Source organism: Homo sapiens, chromosome 3 (genome assembly GCF_000001405.40).
Source record: "Homo sapiens chromosome 3, GRCh38.p14 Primary Assembly".
NCBI lineage: Eukaryota > Metazoa > Chordata > Mammalia > Primates > Hominidae > Homo > Homo sapiens.
Window position 1 is genome coordinate 51,974,633 of NC_000003.12, and position 15,093 is coordinate 51,989,725.

The 15,093-nt window shown below is 55.6% G+C and overlaps 3 protein-coding genes across 7 annotated transcripts, besides 4 other annotated features; all 3 read left to right on the forward strand.

Moving 5' to 3' along the window:
* Positions 356-735: a silencer, noted in NCBI's record as "silent region_14424". NCBI's record gives its function as "represses an Ori minimal core promoter by ATAC-STARR-seq in GM12878 lymphoblastoid cells {active_cell/tissue: GM12878}" and the evidence as "EXISTENCE:reporter gene assay evidence [ECO:0000049][PMID:35858748]".
* On the forward strand, positions 432-6,564 carry ABHD14A (abhydrolase domain containing 14A). Its single transcript, NM_015407.5, has 5 exons — positions 432-572; positions 3,239-3,450; positions 3,627-3,742; positions 5,761-5,996; positions 6,204-6,564. Exons 1-5 carry the CDS (start codon positions 504-506, stop codon positions 6,384-6,386), a joined length of 816 nt encoding a protein of 271 aa, NP_056222.2. The 5' UTR covers positions 432-503; the 3' UTR covers positions 6,387-6,564.
* Positions 432-14,565, forward strand: ABHD14A-ACY1 (ABHD14A-ACY1 readthrough). Its single transcript, NM_001316331.2, has 17 exons — positions 432-572; positions 3,239-3,450; positions 3,627-3,742; positions 9,415-9,526; positions 10,575-10,639; positions 10,729-10,833; positions 11,220-11,314; positions 11,623-11,699; positions 11,783-11,872; positions 11,973-12,029; positions 12,356-12,429; positions 12,515-12,564; positions 12,677-12,821; positions 12,924-12,992; positions 13,892-13,971; positions 14,134-14,194; positions 14,279-14,565. Exons 2-17 carry the CDS (start codon positions 3,315-3,317, stop codon positions 14,441-14,443), a joined length of 1,497 nt encoding a protein of 498 aa, NP_001303260.1. The 5' UTR covers positions 432-572; positions 3,239-3,314; the 3' UTR covers positions 14,444-14,565.
* Positions 1,341-1,635: a silencer, noted in NCBI's record as "tiled region #207; HepG2 Repressive DNase unmatched - State 12:CtcfO, and K562 Repressive DNase unmatched - State 4:PromP". NCBI's record gives its function as "represses a minimal TATA promoter and a strong SV40 promoter by Sharpr-MPRA in HepG2 and K562 cells {active_cell/tissue: HepG2 | K562}" and the evidence as "EXISTENCE:reporter gene assay evidence [ECO:0000049][PMID:27701403]".
* Positions 6,533-7,034: an enhancer, noted in NCBI's record as "H3K4me1 hESC enhancer chr3:52015181-52015682 (GRCh37/hg19 assembly coordinates)". NCBI's record gives its function as "activates a minimal SCP1, AML or CMV promoter by ChIP-STARR-seq in primed H9 embryonic stem cells {active_cell/tissue: H9 hESC(primed)}" and the evidence as "EXISTENCE:reporter gene assay evidence [ECO:0000049][PMID:30033119]".
* Positions 8,488-8,937: a silencer, noted in NCBI's record as "silent region_14425". NCBI's record gives its function as "represses an Ori minimal core promoter by ATAC-STARR-seq in GM12878 lymphoblastoid cells {active_cell/tissue: GM12878}" and the evidence as "EXISTENCE:reporter gene assay evidence [ECO:0000049][PMID:35858748]".
* Positions 8,903-14,565, forward strand: ACY1 (aminoacylase 1). Of its 5 annotated transcripts, none has more exons than NM_000666.3 (15): positions 8,903-8,957; positions 9,415-9,526; positions 10,575-10,639; positions 10,729-10,833; positions 11,220-11,314; positions 11,623-11,699; positions 11,783-11,872; positions 11,973-12,029; positions 12,356-12,429; positions 12,515-12,564; positions 12,677-12,821; positions 12,924-12,992; positions 13,892-13,971; positions 14,134-14,194; positions 14,279-14,565. In NM_000666.3, the coding sequence occupies exons 2-15, from the start codon at positions 9,433-9,435 to the stop codon at positions 14,441-14,443; spliced, it is 1,227 nt and encodes a 408-aa protein (NP_000657.1). In that variant the 5' UTR covers positions 8,903-8,957; positions 9,415-9,432; the 3' UTR covers positions 14,444-14,565. The 5 variants fall into 5 exon arrangements, with proteins under 5 accessions (NP_000657.1, NP_001185824.1, NP_001185827.1 ...); NM_001198895.2 differs by having other exon boundaries at positions 8,903-8,952; NM_001198898.2 differs by lacking the exon at positions 10,575-10,639 and having other exon boundaries at positions 10,769-10,833.

Sequence of the window (15,093 nt, forward strand, 5' to 3'; positions counted from 1 at the left end):
GTGAACGAGCCCAGGGCCAGCCCAGGCTCTGACCGTGGGTGTGCGTCGGGGAGGGGGTGGGGAGGAGTGGGTAGGAGTCAGGAAAGTGGGTCGGCCAAGACCTGGAGCTGCTGCATAACAATATCTGGCATTTACACAACGAGGCCTCTGCTCCGGACACTGTTCTGAGGCTTGACCCGTCCTTAAGAACCTAGGACAACCCTGTGCGGTGGGTTTTATCCTTAACTCCATTATACAGGCCAGAGAACTGAGCCAGGGTGGAGATGTTCCACTGAGAAGAAGCCACATGGCTCTCCGCCGGCTCTCAAGCCAAAAACAGTTCCGAAAATCTGGGCGGGGAGCGGGCCAGAGAGCGCTGGGGCTCTGCCCCCAGCACCCCCTCCACGCAGACGACTCGGTAACTGGGTTGCAGGCCCGCGGCTGCGGAGTGCGCAGGCGCGCCGAGATGGCCGCGCTCCTGGCCGCCTAGAGCCGGAGCGGCCCGCGGAGCTGCGGAGGCAGCCATGGTCGGGGCGCTGTGCGGCTGCTGGTTCCGCCTGGGCGGGGCCCGCCCGCTCATCCCGTTGGGCCCGGTGAGTCTCCCGGGGGAGGGAGGCCGGCCGGTGGCCCAGGGGAGGGCCGTCTTTACCCCGCCCCTTGCCCCGGCGCCCCGGGGCAGAGTCCCGCGGAAGAAGCAGACGCTGGGGCCGCGAATGTGCATGTGCGCGCGTGTAATGTGTGTGCGCGCGCAGGGTCTGCATATGTTCTTGGGGGTCTGGGTGTATGTGTACGCTTGTGTGTCTGCATGGTGTCCGTCAGTGGGTTTCTGCGCGCTTATATTTTTGGGGGGGGGGTGTGTTCGTTGATGTCTGCCTGCTTGTGTCAGCGTTATGTCTTCCGAGTGTATTTCTGTGTGCGTGTGATTTTAAGGGTATGTGTCTACCTGTCTGCGTGTGTGCATTTCTGGGGGTTTGTGTGTGTGTGCGTGTCTGCTTTCCTGTGCATGTGCCTTTCTTGTGTGAATGTGTAGTCTTACGGTTGTGTGTATGACCGTGCTTGAGTATTTCTGAGGATCAGCCTGTGGTTTTCAAAGTGTGCATCTCCATCAGTCTCTCTGGCTTCCTGATGCCTGACTGTGTGCGTGATGTAGAGGGTACCATTACAAGGGATTAATTGCACACGGGCCAGTGTGTGTGCAAAGAGGCTGCATGTACATGCAGGGAATAGCTTGTGCAAAAGAAAAGCGTGTGGGGGCAAGACTCGTATTTGTGCGTGTGTGCACCTGTGTGTCATTGTCAACGCATATTCCAATGACCTAACCCGGGCACAGTTTACCCTGCCCCCCGCAAACCCCCGCAGGCGGCCAGCTGCAGGTCCACTACAATTTCCTAGTACTGCGGGCACCCTCGGTTGCCAAGGCAACAGCCTAAGCCCCGCCCTTCCCGCTTTGGAGAAGCGCGGGGGCGCCCCGAGTGGGCAGCAAGGAAATGTCCCTCGCGCCCGGTGGGAATCTGGACTAACGCCCAGTTAGAGACGCGCGTCTGAGGTTGTTAGTGGTCTGGAAGAAAAGAGGAACGCGCTCTTCCTCCACTAGGTCCTGGTTTTCCAGAAACAGCAGAAAGGCGGCTGCTGCTGTGGCTCACAAGCCCCCCGACCCCGAAGCCTGGGGATGCGGGCTCAGGAAACATCCCCAAAACATCCCGGAGGGATGAATAGGAACCAAGACGGGCCCCCGGCTCCTAGTTCGGGCAGGCGCCCAGTTGGCACTCAATAAAGATGTGCTGGCCCGGCGCGGTGGCTCACGCCTGTAATCCCAGCACTCTGGGAGGCCGAGGCGGGTGAAACACGAGGCCAGCAGTTCGAGAACAGCCTGGCCAACATGGTGAAACCCTGTCTCTACTAAAAAATACAAAAATTAGCCGGGCGCGGTGGCGGGAGCCTGTAATCCCACTATTCGGGAGGCTGAGGCAGGAGAATTGCTTGAACCCGGGAGGCGGAGGTTGCAGTGAGCCGAGATTGTACCACTGCACTCTAGCCTGGGCGACAGAGCAAGACTCCGTCTCAGAAAAATAAAAATAAAATAAAGATGTGTTTGCTGGACTCCTGGAAGGAAGCAGGCGTGCTCATCCTAGGCCCAAGAAATGACAGGGACAGCCCTGATCCAGTCCACGGTATTATCTAAATCTCACAGGAAGCTTAGGAGGGCAGCCACGAGGTTATCCCATTTTACTGACAAACTGAAGACACAAGGTCAGGAAGTGGCAGTCTCAAAGGCCTGTCCTGTTTGAGTCCTGGGTCCTAAGGGCTGTCCTCTGGGGTGGCAGAGACCCCAGATTGGAGGAGTCCACGAAGCAGTCATTTGGCCAGAAGCTGTCTGTGTGTAGGATGGGGAGTAGCAGGCGGCATTCATCTCTCCAACCTCTACACTGTGCTTTTCATTTCTGGGTGTACCATGCTCCTCCCTGGCCCTGCAGCCCCTCACTCCTCAGCATTTTCCTCTATTACAAGACATTCTCTGTGAGCCTCTTCATAACAGCTGGGTTAGACCTTAGTTATAATGCGATTGTAAAACGCGTTCTGATTTTAGCAGTATTAAATGCAGTGAGATTAAAAGAACCATTTCCAAACATGCCCTTAAGTGGGAGGTCCCTTTGCGCGCAGTCTTTCTCCTTTGATAGCCCTCATCACTTTTTCCACCTGCAAGGCTCCAGTTCATCCATCATCTCCCAGCTCCACGGGTTCCTCCTTGGCAAACCGAGTGTGGCCTGGTAGTTAGAAGCCCATTCCTAGGTTCAAACCCCAATTCCCCCACTTGCTACTTGGCACTTTGGGCAAGAGAATGTACCTCTCTGAGCCTCCATTTCCTCACCTATAAGAGACCTATAATCACGTCTGCTCCCCAGCATTCTTGGTGGAAAAGAACCTTGTATGTGAAGTGCCACACTCAGGGCCTGCTGTCATAAGCGCTTGATGAACGGAAGTGGTTTCAGCTGATGCCATGATGGTGGCGGTCACTGAGCATGCTGTGTGCCAGAGAACACCTCAGATGCACCTCCTCACACTGTGAGGTATCTGAGCGCTTGCCCTGGCATGTGGAGTAGTTGAGTGTGAACTCCCAGAACTTTGCCCAGAGCAAGGGAAAGGGCAAGGGCTGGAGCTCTTCCTCTGCTGGGGACTCTGGGTGGGGTTTTGGGATGGGATCCAGGGTCCTTGTAGGGACTCAGTTCCAGCCTCTTTTCCCTCTCCTCTCCCTCTCCAGACTGTGGTACAGACCTCCATGAGCCGGTCCCAGGTAGCCCTGCTGGGCCTGAGTCTGCTGCTCATGCTCCTACTGTATGTGGGGCTGCCAGGCCCCCCTGAGCAGACTTCCTGCCTCTGGGGAGACCCCAATGTCACAGTCCTGGCTGGTCTCACCCCTGGCAACTCGCCCATCTTTTACCGCGAGGTGCTCCCACTCAACCAGGCACACAGGTAGGTGCTGCTCCAAGGGTCTAGTGGAGGGACTAGGCTCAAGGGGAGTCCCTGTGTGGGACCCCCATTATACTCAGGGTGCTCAGGTCCTGGGAGGGCAATGGGAGAAGCCTAGGAATAAAGAAAGGTGGGCTACACCAGGTTCCCAGCAAACACATTCCCCTGTGTGCCTGCAGGGTGGAGGTGGTGCTGCTTCATGGAAAGGCCTTTAACTCTCACACGTGGGAGCAGCTGGGCACACTGCAGCTACTGTCACAGAGGGGCTACCGGGCCGTGGCCCTTGACCTTCCAGGTGAGCACCCCCACCCCTTTGTCTAGGGAAGCCTTAAGTGTGGCTGGGAGGCAACTGGACCCTAGGGTCTGGACAGGCCGTGGCAGGTCACAACATAAGGTGGCACCATGAAAAAGTCTGTGTTTTCATTTTCTACTATGAAAACTACAGTGTGAATTCTAGGTCATGGAGCAAATAAAAACTCTTCACAAGCAGTATACTTTCTTTTTTTTTATTTTATTTATATATATTTTTTGAAACAGAGTCTCGCTCTGTCACCCAGGCTAGAGTACAATGGCACAATCTCGGCTCACTGCAACCTCCGCCTCCCGGGTTCAAGCAATTCTCCTGCCTCCGCTTCCCCAGTAGCTGAGATTACAGGTGACTGCCACCACGCCTGGCTAATTTTTGTATTTTTAGTGGAGATAGGGTTTCACCATGCTGGCCAGGCTGGTCCTGAACTCCCGACCTCAGGTGATTCGCCTGCCTCGGCCTCCCCAAGTGCTGGGATTACAGGTGTGAGCCACTGCGCCCGGCCAAGCAGTGTACTTTCTATGGCAAACCATATAGGTTTTGTGTTTTTAAGTACACAAATGATTTATGCTATCATTCTTGTCATTAAAAAAATGAAAAAATGTCGAGTCATAGAGGATTAAAAAATACTAAAAAATAGCAAAGCTCTGAGAGACTGGTGCCGCATTTCTCTCCCTCTCTAAGAAGTTTAGGGGATGCCACACGCTGTTCTGGGTATTCCCACATGTAAAGATGCAGACGATGTAGAGGATTGTCTAGTGGGGGCTGTAAACATGATTGGTATCCTGTCTGCTTAGCACATCCATCTGTAGCTTGGTTTTCTCCCCCTACATCATGTCTCAAGGATCATGCCGGTCCCTACAAACCTCCCTCTTTGTTGTCAACCCTGCAGTGTGTCCCATAGGAGGGATGGACAGGCTTTATTCAGCCATTCCTCTACTGGCGGAGTGCTCAAGCAATATAGTAGCTAAAGCATCCTTGGGCATGCTTCTTTGAGCATGTGAGCAATAATTTCTCTAGGGTAGCTACTGAGGACAATTGATGGGCCAAAGGATGTGTTGTGTTTTGTTTTTTTTTTGTTTGTTTCTTTTTTTGTTTTTTGTTTTTTTTTTTTTTGAGACAGAGCCTCGCTCTGTCACCCTGGCTGGAGTGCAGTGGCTCGTACTCGGCTCACTGCAACCTCCGCCTTCTGGGTTCAAGCGATTCTCCTGCCTCAGTCTCCTGAGTAGCTGGGATTACAGGTGCGCCCCACCATGCCTGGCTAATTTTTGTATTTTTAGTAGAGACAGGGTTTCACCATGTTGGTCAGGCTGGTCTCAAACTCCTGACCTCATGATCCGCCACCTCGGCCTCCCAAAGTGCTGGGATTACAGGCATGAGCCACCGCGCCCAGCTGCCAGGACATGCATTTTTAAATTTAGATAACTACTATCTCACCCTCCAAAAACACTATATGGATTTATCTTCCCATCTGTCATGTATGAAAGTGCCCATTTCCCCATGTCTCCCCCAACACTGGGTATTATTTATTTTTTATTTTATTTTATTTTTTTTTTAGACAGAGTCTCGCAGTCGCCCAGGCTAGAGTGCAGTGGCATGATCTCGGCTCACTGCAGGCTCCGCCCCCCGGGGTTCATGCCATTCTCCTGCCTCAGCCTCCTGCGTAGCTGGGACTACAGGTGCCCGCCACCTCGCCTGGCTAATTTTTTGTATTTTTAGTAGAGACGGAGTTTCACCGTGTTAGCCAGGATGGTCTCGATCTCCTAACCTCGTGATCTGCCCGCCTCGGCCTCCCAAAGTGCTGGGATTACAGGCGTGAGCCACCACTCTCGGCCAAGATATGCTTTTCTAACAGGCATATTACATTACCAGAAAATAGCTTCTGGGCAGTTTTAGGTAGTGTGTGCCAGTGCCAGTGGTCCCCAACTTTTTCCCCCACTGTGGTGGGCAGGAAGTCCTGTGCCCCTTCCCAGTGCCCCTCAGCTGGTACCTGCTGCTGTTCCTAGGTTTTGGGAACTCGGCACCTTCAAAGGAGGCAAGCACAGAGGCAGGGCGGGCAGCGCTGCTGGAGCGGGCGCTGCGGGACCTGGAGGTACAGAATGCCGTGTTGGTGAGCCCCTCGCTGAGTGGCCACTATGCCCTGCCCTTCCTGATGCGAGGCCACCACCAGCTACATGGATTTGTGCCCATCGCACCCACCTCCACCCAGAACTACACCCAGGAGCAATTCTGGGCTGTGAAGGTACTGGGAGAAGGATCTCAAAGGTCCTGGCACCCTGTCTGTGGCTTGGGGGGGTTCAGGACTCAAGTCTTACTTGGAGGGACATGGCCTTATCCCTGACCTTGGATGGAAGAGTTGGATGGTGTTGGGGAAGGCTTCCTAGGAAGTGGCTTGGGGGTCAGAAACTCATCAGGCCCCAAGATCACAGCCCCCTGCCTTGCCCTGCAGACTCCAACCCTTATCCTGTATGGAGAGCTGGACCACATCCTGGCTCGAGAGTCACTGCGGCAGCTCCGCCACCTGCCCAACCACTCTGTGGTGAAGCTACGCAATGCAGGCCATGCCTGTTACCTCCACAAGCCGCAAGACTTCCACCTTGTCCTGCTTGCCTTCCTTGACCATCTACCTTGAACTAACCCACTCCCAGCTCCCAGCCTGGCATGAGCTTGGACAGTCTGGACCGCCACCCTCCCTGAACCAGGGAGACAGCCTCTGGGATTGGAGGCCAGAGGCCAGGGTCAGACCCAGCCAGGACTCCTCATTTCATCTCACAGACACAATAAAAAAGCATATTTGTCCTGCCTGGGAAGTGACAGGTTCCGTTTCCTGGTGTGCTGTGGGAAAGACGGGAGTGGGAGGCAAGTCTGGGACTACTTTGGGCCTGGGAGCTGGAGGGGATGTCCAGCAGTCTGAGAAGGCTAAGAATGCGCCACTTCCTAAGTGCCTGGCCTCACCACTCTGTGCCTGAGTTTCCTTATCTGTAAAACGGGTATGATGGCAACACCTAGGTTGGAGGGTGGTTATAGGACTGAATGAGTCTGGATAACTGAGTACTTGGCCACATAAGGCTGGGGAATTGCTGGTGGGAGGCGGGGTGTATTACTGCTGCTGCATGACCACAGGGATTGGTGGGAAATCCAGGGTCTGGACAGCCAAGCCAAGGAAGTCAGGAACCTAGAGGGTATGGGGAACGCGATTTAACAATTAGCCAGCATTGGCCGGGCGCAGTGGCTCACACCTGTAATCCCAGCACTTTGGGAGGCCGAGGCAGGCGGATCACGAGGTCAGGAGATCGAGACCATCCTGACTAACACGGTGAAAACCCGTCTCTACTAAAAATACAAAAAATTAGCCGAGCGTGGTGGCGGGTGACTTTAGTCCCAGCTACTCAGTAGGCTGAGGCAGGAGAATGGTGTGAACCCGGGAGGCGGAGCTTGCAGTGAGCCAAGACCGAGATCACACCACTGCACTCCACCCTGGGTGACAAAGCGAGTGAGACTCCGTCTCAAAAAAAAAAAAAAAAAAAAAAAAAAAAAAAAAAAAAAAAACCAGCATTAGCTGGGCACTGTGGCTCACATCTGTAATCCCAGCACCTTGGGAGGCCAAGGCGGGTGGATCACCTGAGGTCAGGAGTTCAAGACCACCCTGGCCAACATGACAAACCCTGTCTCTACTAAAAATACAAAAATTAGCCCAGCGTGGTGGCACGCACCTGTAATCCCAGCTACTCTGGAGGCTGAGGCAGGAGAATCACTTGAACCCAGGAGGCGGAGTTTTCAGCGAGCCGAGAAGGAGCCACTGCACTCCAGCCTGGGCAGCAGAGTGAGACTCCATCTCAAAAAAATAAATAGCTAAATAATTAGCCAGCATTGTTATGAGTTAAAGTCTATTTGCCCGCATGAATAAATAGGTAAATAATTAGCCAGCATTGTTGTGAGTTAAAATCTATTTGCCCGCATGACAGAGTGAGACTCTGTATCAAAAAAATAACTAAATAAAGAATTATCCAGCATTGTTATGAGTTAAAGTCCATTTGCCCCCATGTTATGTGTGAGCAGCCAAGACTTAAACCTCAGGAAAGGTGGGACAGAACCCTTCCCACAGCGTGCCTCCTTGGCCTAGAGATTGAAGTCTTTGTCCCTCACCCTTCCCCAAGCTGACTCAGCCCCTGGAGCAGAGGGCAGACCTGGCTGGGAGTACAAAGGGCAGCTGGGGCACAAGTGGGCAACTGCAGCTGTGGCCTGCAGGGGGCCAGTGGTACACCTGTGCCTGTTTAGCCTCCCCCTCTGGTGGCTGCAGAAGAGCCAGTTTCCTCACACTGTCCATCCAGGGTCACAATTACATCCATTCACAGTGACTTCATCACACCCACCCACCATCTCACACTGTCACATACACAATCATATCCACTGATAGACTGCACACGCAGTGGCACGCTTAAACCGTCACACGTGCTCTTGTCCATGCATTCATTCCCATTCTAGGCACTGTCCGGGCTCGGCACGGCCCCGGGCAGAACCTTGCAGGAAGTGGAGCTCACAGCCTCCTGGAGTTCAGTGTGGGCAGACAGACATTGGCCAATAACTTCAGTACAAGTGGAGCTGAGGCGTCAGGGAGGACCTCCCCGAGGGGCTGAGGCCTGCAGTGGGGAGCCGTTGGAGACTTGCCGAGGAGGGCGAGGGCGCAGGCCCAGGGCTTTGCAGCTCTGCATCTTGAGAGCCTCGGGGCGGCCCCCTTTCCTCCCGCCCTATCCGGGGGCTGAAGGAGGAGGCGCCCTTAGGGGACGGGACCGTCCTGAGCTCCCGGCGCATACCTGGGGGCAGGAGTGGCAGGCGTGTCGTGTGGGGCGGGGCGAGCCTGTCAGAGCAGGGCCAGCCCGGAGCTCGCAACTCGCGGGGCGGCGCTGGCCGCGGCGGCCGCTGCCCGGGGACGGGATCCGGATCTAATCCTCCAGTAATCTCGCTGAGGCCCGAACCAGAGGCGGGCGGGGACATCCGCGCCGACGCGGCCGCTGGCGCCGGGACGGCCCTCACTGACGGTCTTCGGTCTCCGCCCCGACATCCGGCCTCGGCCACGTGGTGGGCGGACCGGGGCGGTCCTGAGCCTGCGACCTCGCAGGCGACCTCGCTGGACCCTAAGTCCAGGCCACAGTCAGGGAAGGGCGCTGAGAGGCGAGCGTGAGCCCAGCGACAGGAGAGTGAGGTGGGGGCCCTGGGGAGGGATAGAGGGACTGGGGCTCCGTGGCTTGAAAGCCGGGCAACTGGGAGGCGTTGGGGTTTTTCTTGTTTGTTTTTTGTTTTTGTTTTTGCCTTTTTTTTTTTTTAGGAGGGCGGGGGGAGTACAAGTCTGGGTTCAAACCTTGCTCAGCTACTCTATGAGCTGTCCTTGAACCTCTCTGAGCCTCTCAGCTTTCTCCTCTGTAAAGTGGGCATTCTGAGCACAAACTTCATGGGGCTCTTTTGGGGATTAAATAAGGAAATGTGCTGGAAGCAGACAGCCCAGCGCCTGAAACAGAATGGGTGCTCCTTAATGGGGGCTCCGAAACACGGTATCCTACCCCTGTGGGAAGTCCGGGAGCCGCCGTGGGGACAGGCTGTGTGCAGGAGCTCACCATTTCCAGGGTCTTGGAGGGGTAGTTAGCCATTCACTTTGCCCCCAGCTCACCACGCGCAGCGCCATGACCAGCAAGGGTCCCGAGGAGGAGCACCCATCGGTGACGCTCTTCCGCCAGTACCTGCGTATCCGCACTGTCCAGCCCAAGCCTGACTATGGTGAGAAGACGGTGGTTCCAGAGCCTGTGACGGGGCCTAAGGGACGGGGACTGTGCTCTAAACCAGCCTCCAACCCCTGTCACCCAGCTGAGCCCCACTCTGCTGTCCCAAATGGCTCCCCAACCCCTCCAGCCATTCCCCAAGTAAATAGACTGAGGCAGCCCCTCCAGGTTAGGGAGGAACCCTTTCCCCAGAGACTCTGCTGCTGACCAAGGTTACTCCTGGCAGCTGGTTAAAGAAAAACTTCACCTCACTCTCCAGGGCAGGAGTGGTGGGGGAAGCCTGAGGCAGCCACAGGGAAAGGAGAGGCCCTCCAGAAGCCCACTGGGGCTGGACAAAGGCCACAGCCCTTAGGGAGTCAAGCTTGGTGGCTAGGGCCTGGGAGGTGGCTCCTGCCTGTTATCCCAGCACTTCAGGAGGTTGAGGCTGGCAGATTGCTTGGGCCCAGGAGTTCAAGACTAGCTTGAGCAACATGGCAAGACTCTGTCTCTACAGAAAAAATACAAAAATTAGTCAGGAATGGTGGCACACCTGTAGTCCCAGCTACTCCAGAGGTTGAGGTGGGAGGATCGCTTGAGCCTGGGAGGTTGAGGCTGCAGTGAGCCGAGATCGCACCACTTCACTCCTGCCTTGGTGACAGAGTGAGACCCTGTCTCAAAAAAAAAAAAAAAAAAAGGAAAAGAAAAAAAAAAAACTTAGTGGCTGGGAATTGTGTACATGGGTCCAAATTCCTCCTCTGTGATTAATCAGCTGAGAGATGGTGGGTGAATCTCTTCATGTCTCTGTGCCATAGTTTCCCATATTTAAGGAAGATAACACCTTCCTCCAACCCTGTGTCCAGACATCCCCCTGGACTTCCAGAAAGGGTCACTGAGTAGCCAAAAATATCTTCTTTCTTGGGGATGGAAATGCAAGCATCTCTGAGGGATATGGAGTGTGTCGGGGAGGCAGCAGCCCATTTCTGGGTATGCTCCACTCTCCGGGCTGCCTGGGCTGGTGGGAAGCTGTGGGTAGGCAGAAGCAGCCCCAAGACACTCTGTGCCTCCAGGAGCTGCTGTGGCTTTCTTTGAGGAGACAGCCCGCCAGCTGGGCCTGGGCTGTCAGAAAGTAGAGGTGAGCCTGGGGCCCTAAGCGGGGAAGGGAGGTGGGCCTGGGCACTTCCTCACCCTGCTCAGACCACCTACCCTCCTGACCATCTCCAGGTGGCACCTGGCTATGTGGTGACCGTGTTGACCTGGCCAGGCACCAACCCTACACTCTCCTCCATCTTGCTCAACTCCCACACGGATGTGGTGCCTGTCTTCAAGGTGTGTAAGGGGCTGGGGAGGTGGGCAGTGCAGGCCTTGGGGACAGACATGATGCAGACCCCAGGATTCAACCTCAAGTTGCTCATGGTCCTGGCCCCAGTCCTGACACTAACTCTCAACATCCTTATGACATTACACCACTCAAGCAGCCTTCATCCAGCAGCAAGTTCTGGGCCAGAGTGGGGTGGGGACTGGGGGGTGGGAAGCAGGAGACAGCAATGGGGGATGGCAATCAGCTGCCTTCTTCAGCCCCCGTCTTTCCTCTCCCACCACTCCACCTGTCACTCCAACCCTATGGTGGGCTCCTAGGGCAGGGCCACTGTTGACCAGAGTGGATTAATGGCTAAATTTGGGGTTTGGGCCCCTCTTCCCATCCCTGCCCCCAGGAACATTGGAGTCACGACCCCTTTGAGGCCTTCAAGGATTCTGAGGGCTACATCTATGCCAGGGGTGCCCAGGACATGAAGTGCGTCAGCATCCAGTGAGTGTCCTCCATTCCTACTCCTCCACAATGTCCCCACTGGTCCAGTGGATTGAAGCAGGACCTGAGGGGGTGATTGGAGAAACTCAAGGCCAAGGAACACCGTGACCTCTTGGACAGGAACTACTGCCATGACCATTGCATGGATAGGGAGATTCAGACCAGAGAGGGGCAGGGACTTTCTGGAGTCCCTATCAGGGTGTGGCAGGGTAAAGTCCAGGACACAGGACTCCAGCCTGCTGGCCCTGCCTGTGGGGCCAGCCTGCGCATCTGGTGGCTCCCCCAGCACCTGGCTTATGCCCCCTCAGGTACCTGGAAGCTGTGAGGAGGCTGAAGGTGGAGGGCCACCGGTTCCCCAGAACCATCCACATGACCTTTGTGCCTGGTAGGAGTGGCTCAGATACCTTTGGGAAAGGGGAGGGTGGGGCGGGGCAGCCTCCTCATCTCACGTCCCTGCTGCTTTTACAGATGAGGAGGTTGGGGGTCACCAAGGCATGGAGCTGTTCGTGCAGCGGCCTGAGTTCCACGCCCTGAGGGCAGGCTTTGCCCTGGATGAGGGTGAGCAGGTTGGCAAGCCAATGAGCAGCCAGGCAGGGAGTAGGAGGCTGCTAGTGGGGACTGAGCTGCTCCACCCTCTGAACCCCCTTTCCCTCCTCAGGCATAGCCAATCCCACTGATGCCTTCACTGTCTTTTATAGTGAGCGGAGTCCCTGGTGTAAGTATGAGCTTGGAGGGAGGGCTCACTCTACAGGCGGGAGGCTAGGCCAGAAAGGGCACGGTCCTATGCAGGGTTGCACAGCAAAGTTGAGGCCTGAGAAGGCCTTGAACCCAGGGCCTCTACCTCCCAGCTCTTTCCTATCTGAGCTTCTCTGAGGGCAAGCCCTGAATGGGCAGAAACCAGCTGTATGCTACGGGCCCTGAGTGGGGACAGGACCCTGCCAGAGGAGCCTGGAATGAGGGGGAGACCTGGGCCCACCCCAGGCTGATTGTGTCTCCAGCCCCTCAGGCTGAAGACACTGCCTTCCCCCTACACCTCCCCAGGGGTGCGGGTTACCAGCACTGGGAGGCCAGGCCATGCCTCACGCTTCATGGAGGACACAGCAGCAGAGAAGCTGGTACGTGGCACCCCAGGAGGGAGTCTGGGAGTTCAGGAGGCTCTATCCTGAGGCCACTGTCCCATTTAACCTCATATTCTCATAGCACAAGGTTGTAAACTCCATCCTGGCATTCCGGGAGAAGGAATGGCAGAGGTGAGGCAGCCTGGGAGGCAGTGGGGTGGCTCTGGGAGGCGGTACCACAGAGGATAGAGTCTGAGCCACCTCTTTTATCTGTTGCTGCCGCTACCCTGCCCCCACACCACAGGCTGCAGTCAAACCCCCACCTGAAAGAGGGGTCCGTGACCTCCGTGAACCTGACTAAGCTAGAGGGTGGCGTGGCCTATAACGTGATACCTGCCACCATGAGCGCCAGCTTTGACTTCCGTGTGGCACCGGATGTGGACTTCAAGGTGCCACCTCCACCTGGGTTTGGAGGAGGGATCCTGGGTCCTCAGTCTTGTCCTAGAGGCCTCTGGAAAGCCTGAAGGATCAGCTCGTCTCCCTTCTCTTAGGCTTTTGAGGAGCAGCTGCAGAGCTGGTGCCAGGCAGCTGGCGAGGGGGTCACCCTAGAGTTTGCTCAGGTATGGACTTGGGACATGTGATGGGAGAGTGTGGGAGCCGGGGGAGACCCAAGTGTGCAACAGTGGAGTGTGTGCTTGGTGTGTCTGCATATGTCTGGGCATTTCTTTATCTGTGACAGACACATTTTATTCCAACAAGCATTCATTGTAGAGGCCACTGTGGGTGCTGGGGAATGCTGTGGGGAGTAAAATTAGGCACAGTTCATGCCCTTGTATGGTGAAACGGGGAGATATAAATCAAACATTTATGTGATATTACTTTTTTCTGAGAGAATCTCACTCCGTCACCCAGGCTGCAGTGCAGTGGCACAATCTCGGCTCACCTCCGCCTCCCGGGTTCAAGCAATTCTTGTGCCTCAGCCTCCAGAGTAGTTGGGATTACAGGCACCTGCCACCACGCCCAGCTAATTTTTGCATTTTTAGTAGAGACAGTGTTTCACCATGTTGGCCAGGCTTGTCTCGAACTCCTGGCCTCAAGTGATCCACCCACCTTGGCCTCGCAAAATGCTGGGATTACAGGCATGAGCCACTGCGCCCAGCCGTACTTTCATATAACCCATGTGGTACAGGAAAGGGTGGCCCCTTGCACTCTGAAAACCTGTAACTGGAGTATCCAACTAGTCTGAGAGGTCTGGGGGAGCCATCTTGAGGAAGGGGCACTTGGGCTAGGATCTGAAGGATGGACAGGAGGTAAGTAGACGGAGGGTGGGAAGGTCCCAGACCTAGGACATTTGAGGGGCTGAAAGAGGACCTGTGGCTGGACTGGCTACCCAGATGTCTGGGTAGGTGAAGGAGTGGGGGTGGGGAGGTGTTATGTACTAGGCACAGCCCACTCTATGGGAAATAGGGCAAGATGCCCAGGCCCATGTCCTGATCCTGCCATTCTTCCTGTCCCTCAGAAGTGGATGCACCCCCAAGTGACACCTACTGATGACTCAAACCCTTGGTGGGCAGCTTTTAGCCGGGTCTGCAAGGATATGTGAGCACGCTGGCCAGCTCTCCTCACAGCCCAGCCCCCTACTCCTCTCCTTCCTGCTGCCCCCTCCCTTCTCCCTCCTTCTCCCACCTCTTTCCCACCTTCCTTTGCCCCTTCAATTCTTCGCTTTCTCCCTCCCCATTCATCAGGCTCTTTCTCCTACAGGAACCTCACTCTGGAGCCTGAGATCATGCCTGCTGCCACTGACAACCGCTATATCCGCGCGGTGAGCCACTTGCATATAGTGCCTGGGCAGTGGACTGGGCCTGAGTGCTGGCTTTTCCCTAACGGCTCTTCCTCACCCCTGCAGGTGGGGGTCCCAGCTCTAGGCTTCTCACCCATGAACCGCACACCTGTGCTGCTGCACGACCACGATGAACGGCTGCATGAGGCTGTGTTCCTCCGTGGGGTGGACATATATACACGCCTGCTGCCTGCCCTTGCCAGTGTGCCTGCCCTGCCCAGTGACAGCTGAGCCCTGGAACTCCTAAACCTTTGCCCCTGGGGCTTCCATCCCAACCAGTGCCAAGGACCTCCTCTTCCCCCTTCCAAATAATAAAGTCTATGGACAGGGCTGTCTCTGAAGTACTAACACAAGGACACTCGTGGAGCAAGAATTTTCCTTTTCCTGGGGACATGTTACCATCTCCATTTCACAGATGAGGAAACTGAGCCTGGCTGTTAGCACTTCCCCACTACCCCACACTGCTCTGTGCCCCTTGACACAGCACACCCATTCAGTACCATCCAGCCATGTCTGTGCCTAGCAAGAAAGGGCCACAGTTCCTATTTGAGTGGCCACCATACTTAGTTCTGACCTATCAGGGATTCCATTCCCATTAAAGAGGGATACTAAGGACCTCAGGAACCACTCCCATCTTCCTGGGTGTACATCTGGGATCCTGAGACAGTACCAGAATAGCACCAGCTGGGCCCCTGCTAGATGAGGGGCAGGCAGAGGGCCAACGGTGACTGCTGGCTCCTGTCAAAACCTGTACACCCTTGTGTTGGCAGCAGGGGCCACAGAGGGGCAGGGTCCCTGGTAGACTAGGTCAGTTCATCTTAGAGGCCTCAGCACCCTGGATCTGTGTGTGCAGAGGCCCAGGAACTGGGCTTTCATCTCAG

Coding starts and splice junctions, on each gene's coding strand:
- ABHD14A (NM_015407.5), top strand. CDS start 504: ATGGTCGGGGCGCTGTGCGGCTGCTGGTTCCGCCTGGGCGGGGCCCGC. Junction 573..3,238: donor CGCTCATCCCGTTGGGCCCG/GTGAGTCTCCCG, acceptor CTCCCTCTCCAG/ACTGTGGTACAGACCTCCAT. Junction 5,997..6,203: donor AGCAATTCTGGGCTGTGAAG/GTACTGGGAGAA, acceptor CTTGCCCTGCAG/ACTCCAACCCTTATCCTGTA.
- ABHD14A-ACY1 (NM_001316331.2), top strand. CDS start 3,315: ATGTGGGGCTGCCAGGCCCCCCTGAGCAGACTTCCTGCCTCTGGGGAG. Junction 11,315..11,622: donor ATGAAGTGCGTCAGCATCCA/GTGAGTGTCCTC, acceptor ATGCCCCCTCAG/GTACCTGGAAGCTGTGAGGA. Junction 12,993..13,891: donor TCACCCTAGAGTTTGCTCAG/GTATGGACTTGG, acceptor CCTGTCCCTCAG/AAGTGGATGCACCCCCAAGT.
- ACY1 (NM_000666.3), top strand. CDS start 9,433: ATGACCAGCAAGGGTCCCGAGGAGGAGCACCCATCGGTGACGCTCTTC. Junction 10,640..10,728: donor TGGGCTGTCAGAAAGTAGAG/GTGAGCCTGGGG, acceptor GACCATCTCCAG/GTGGCACCTGGCTATGTGGT. Junction 11,315..11,622: donor ATGAAGTGCGTCAGCATCCA/GTGAGTGTCCTC, acceptor ATGCCCCCTCAG/GTACCTGGAAGCTGTGAGGA.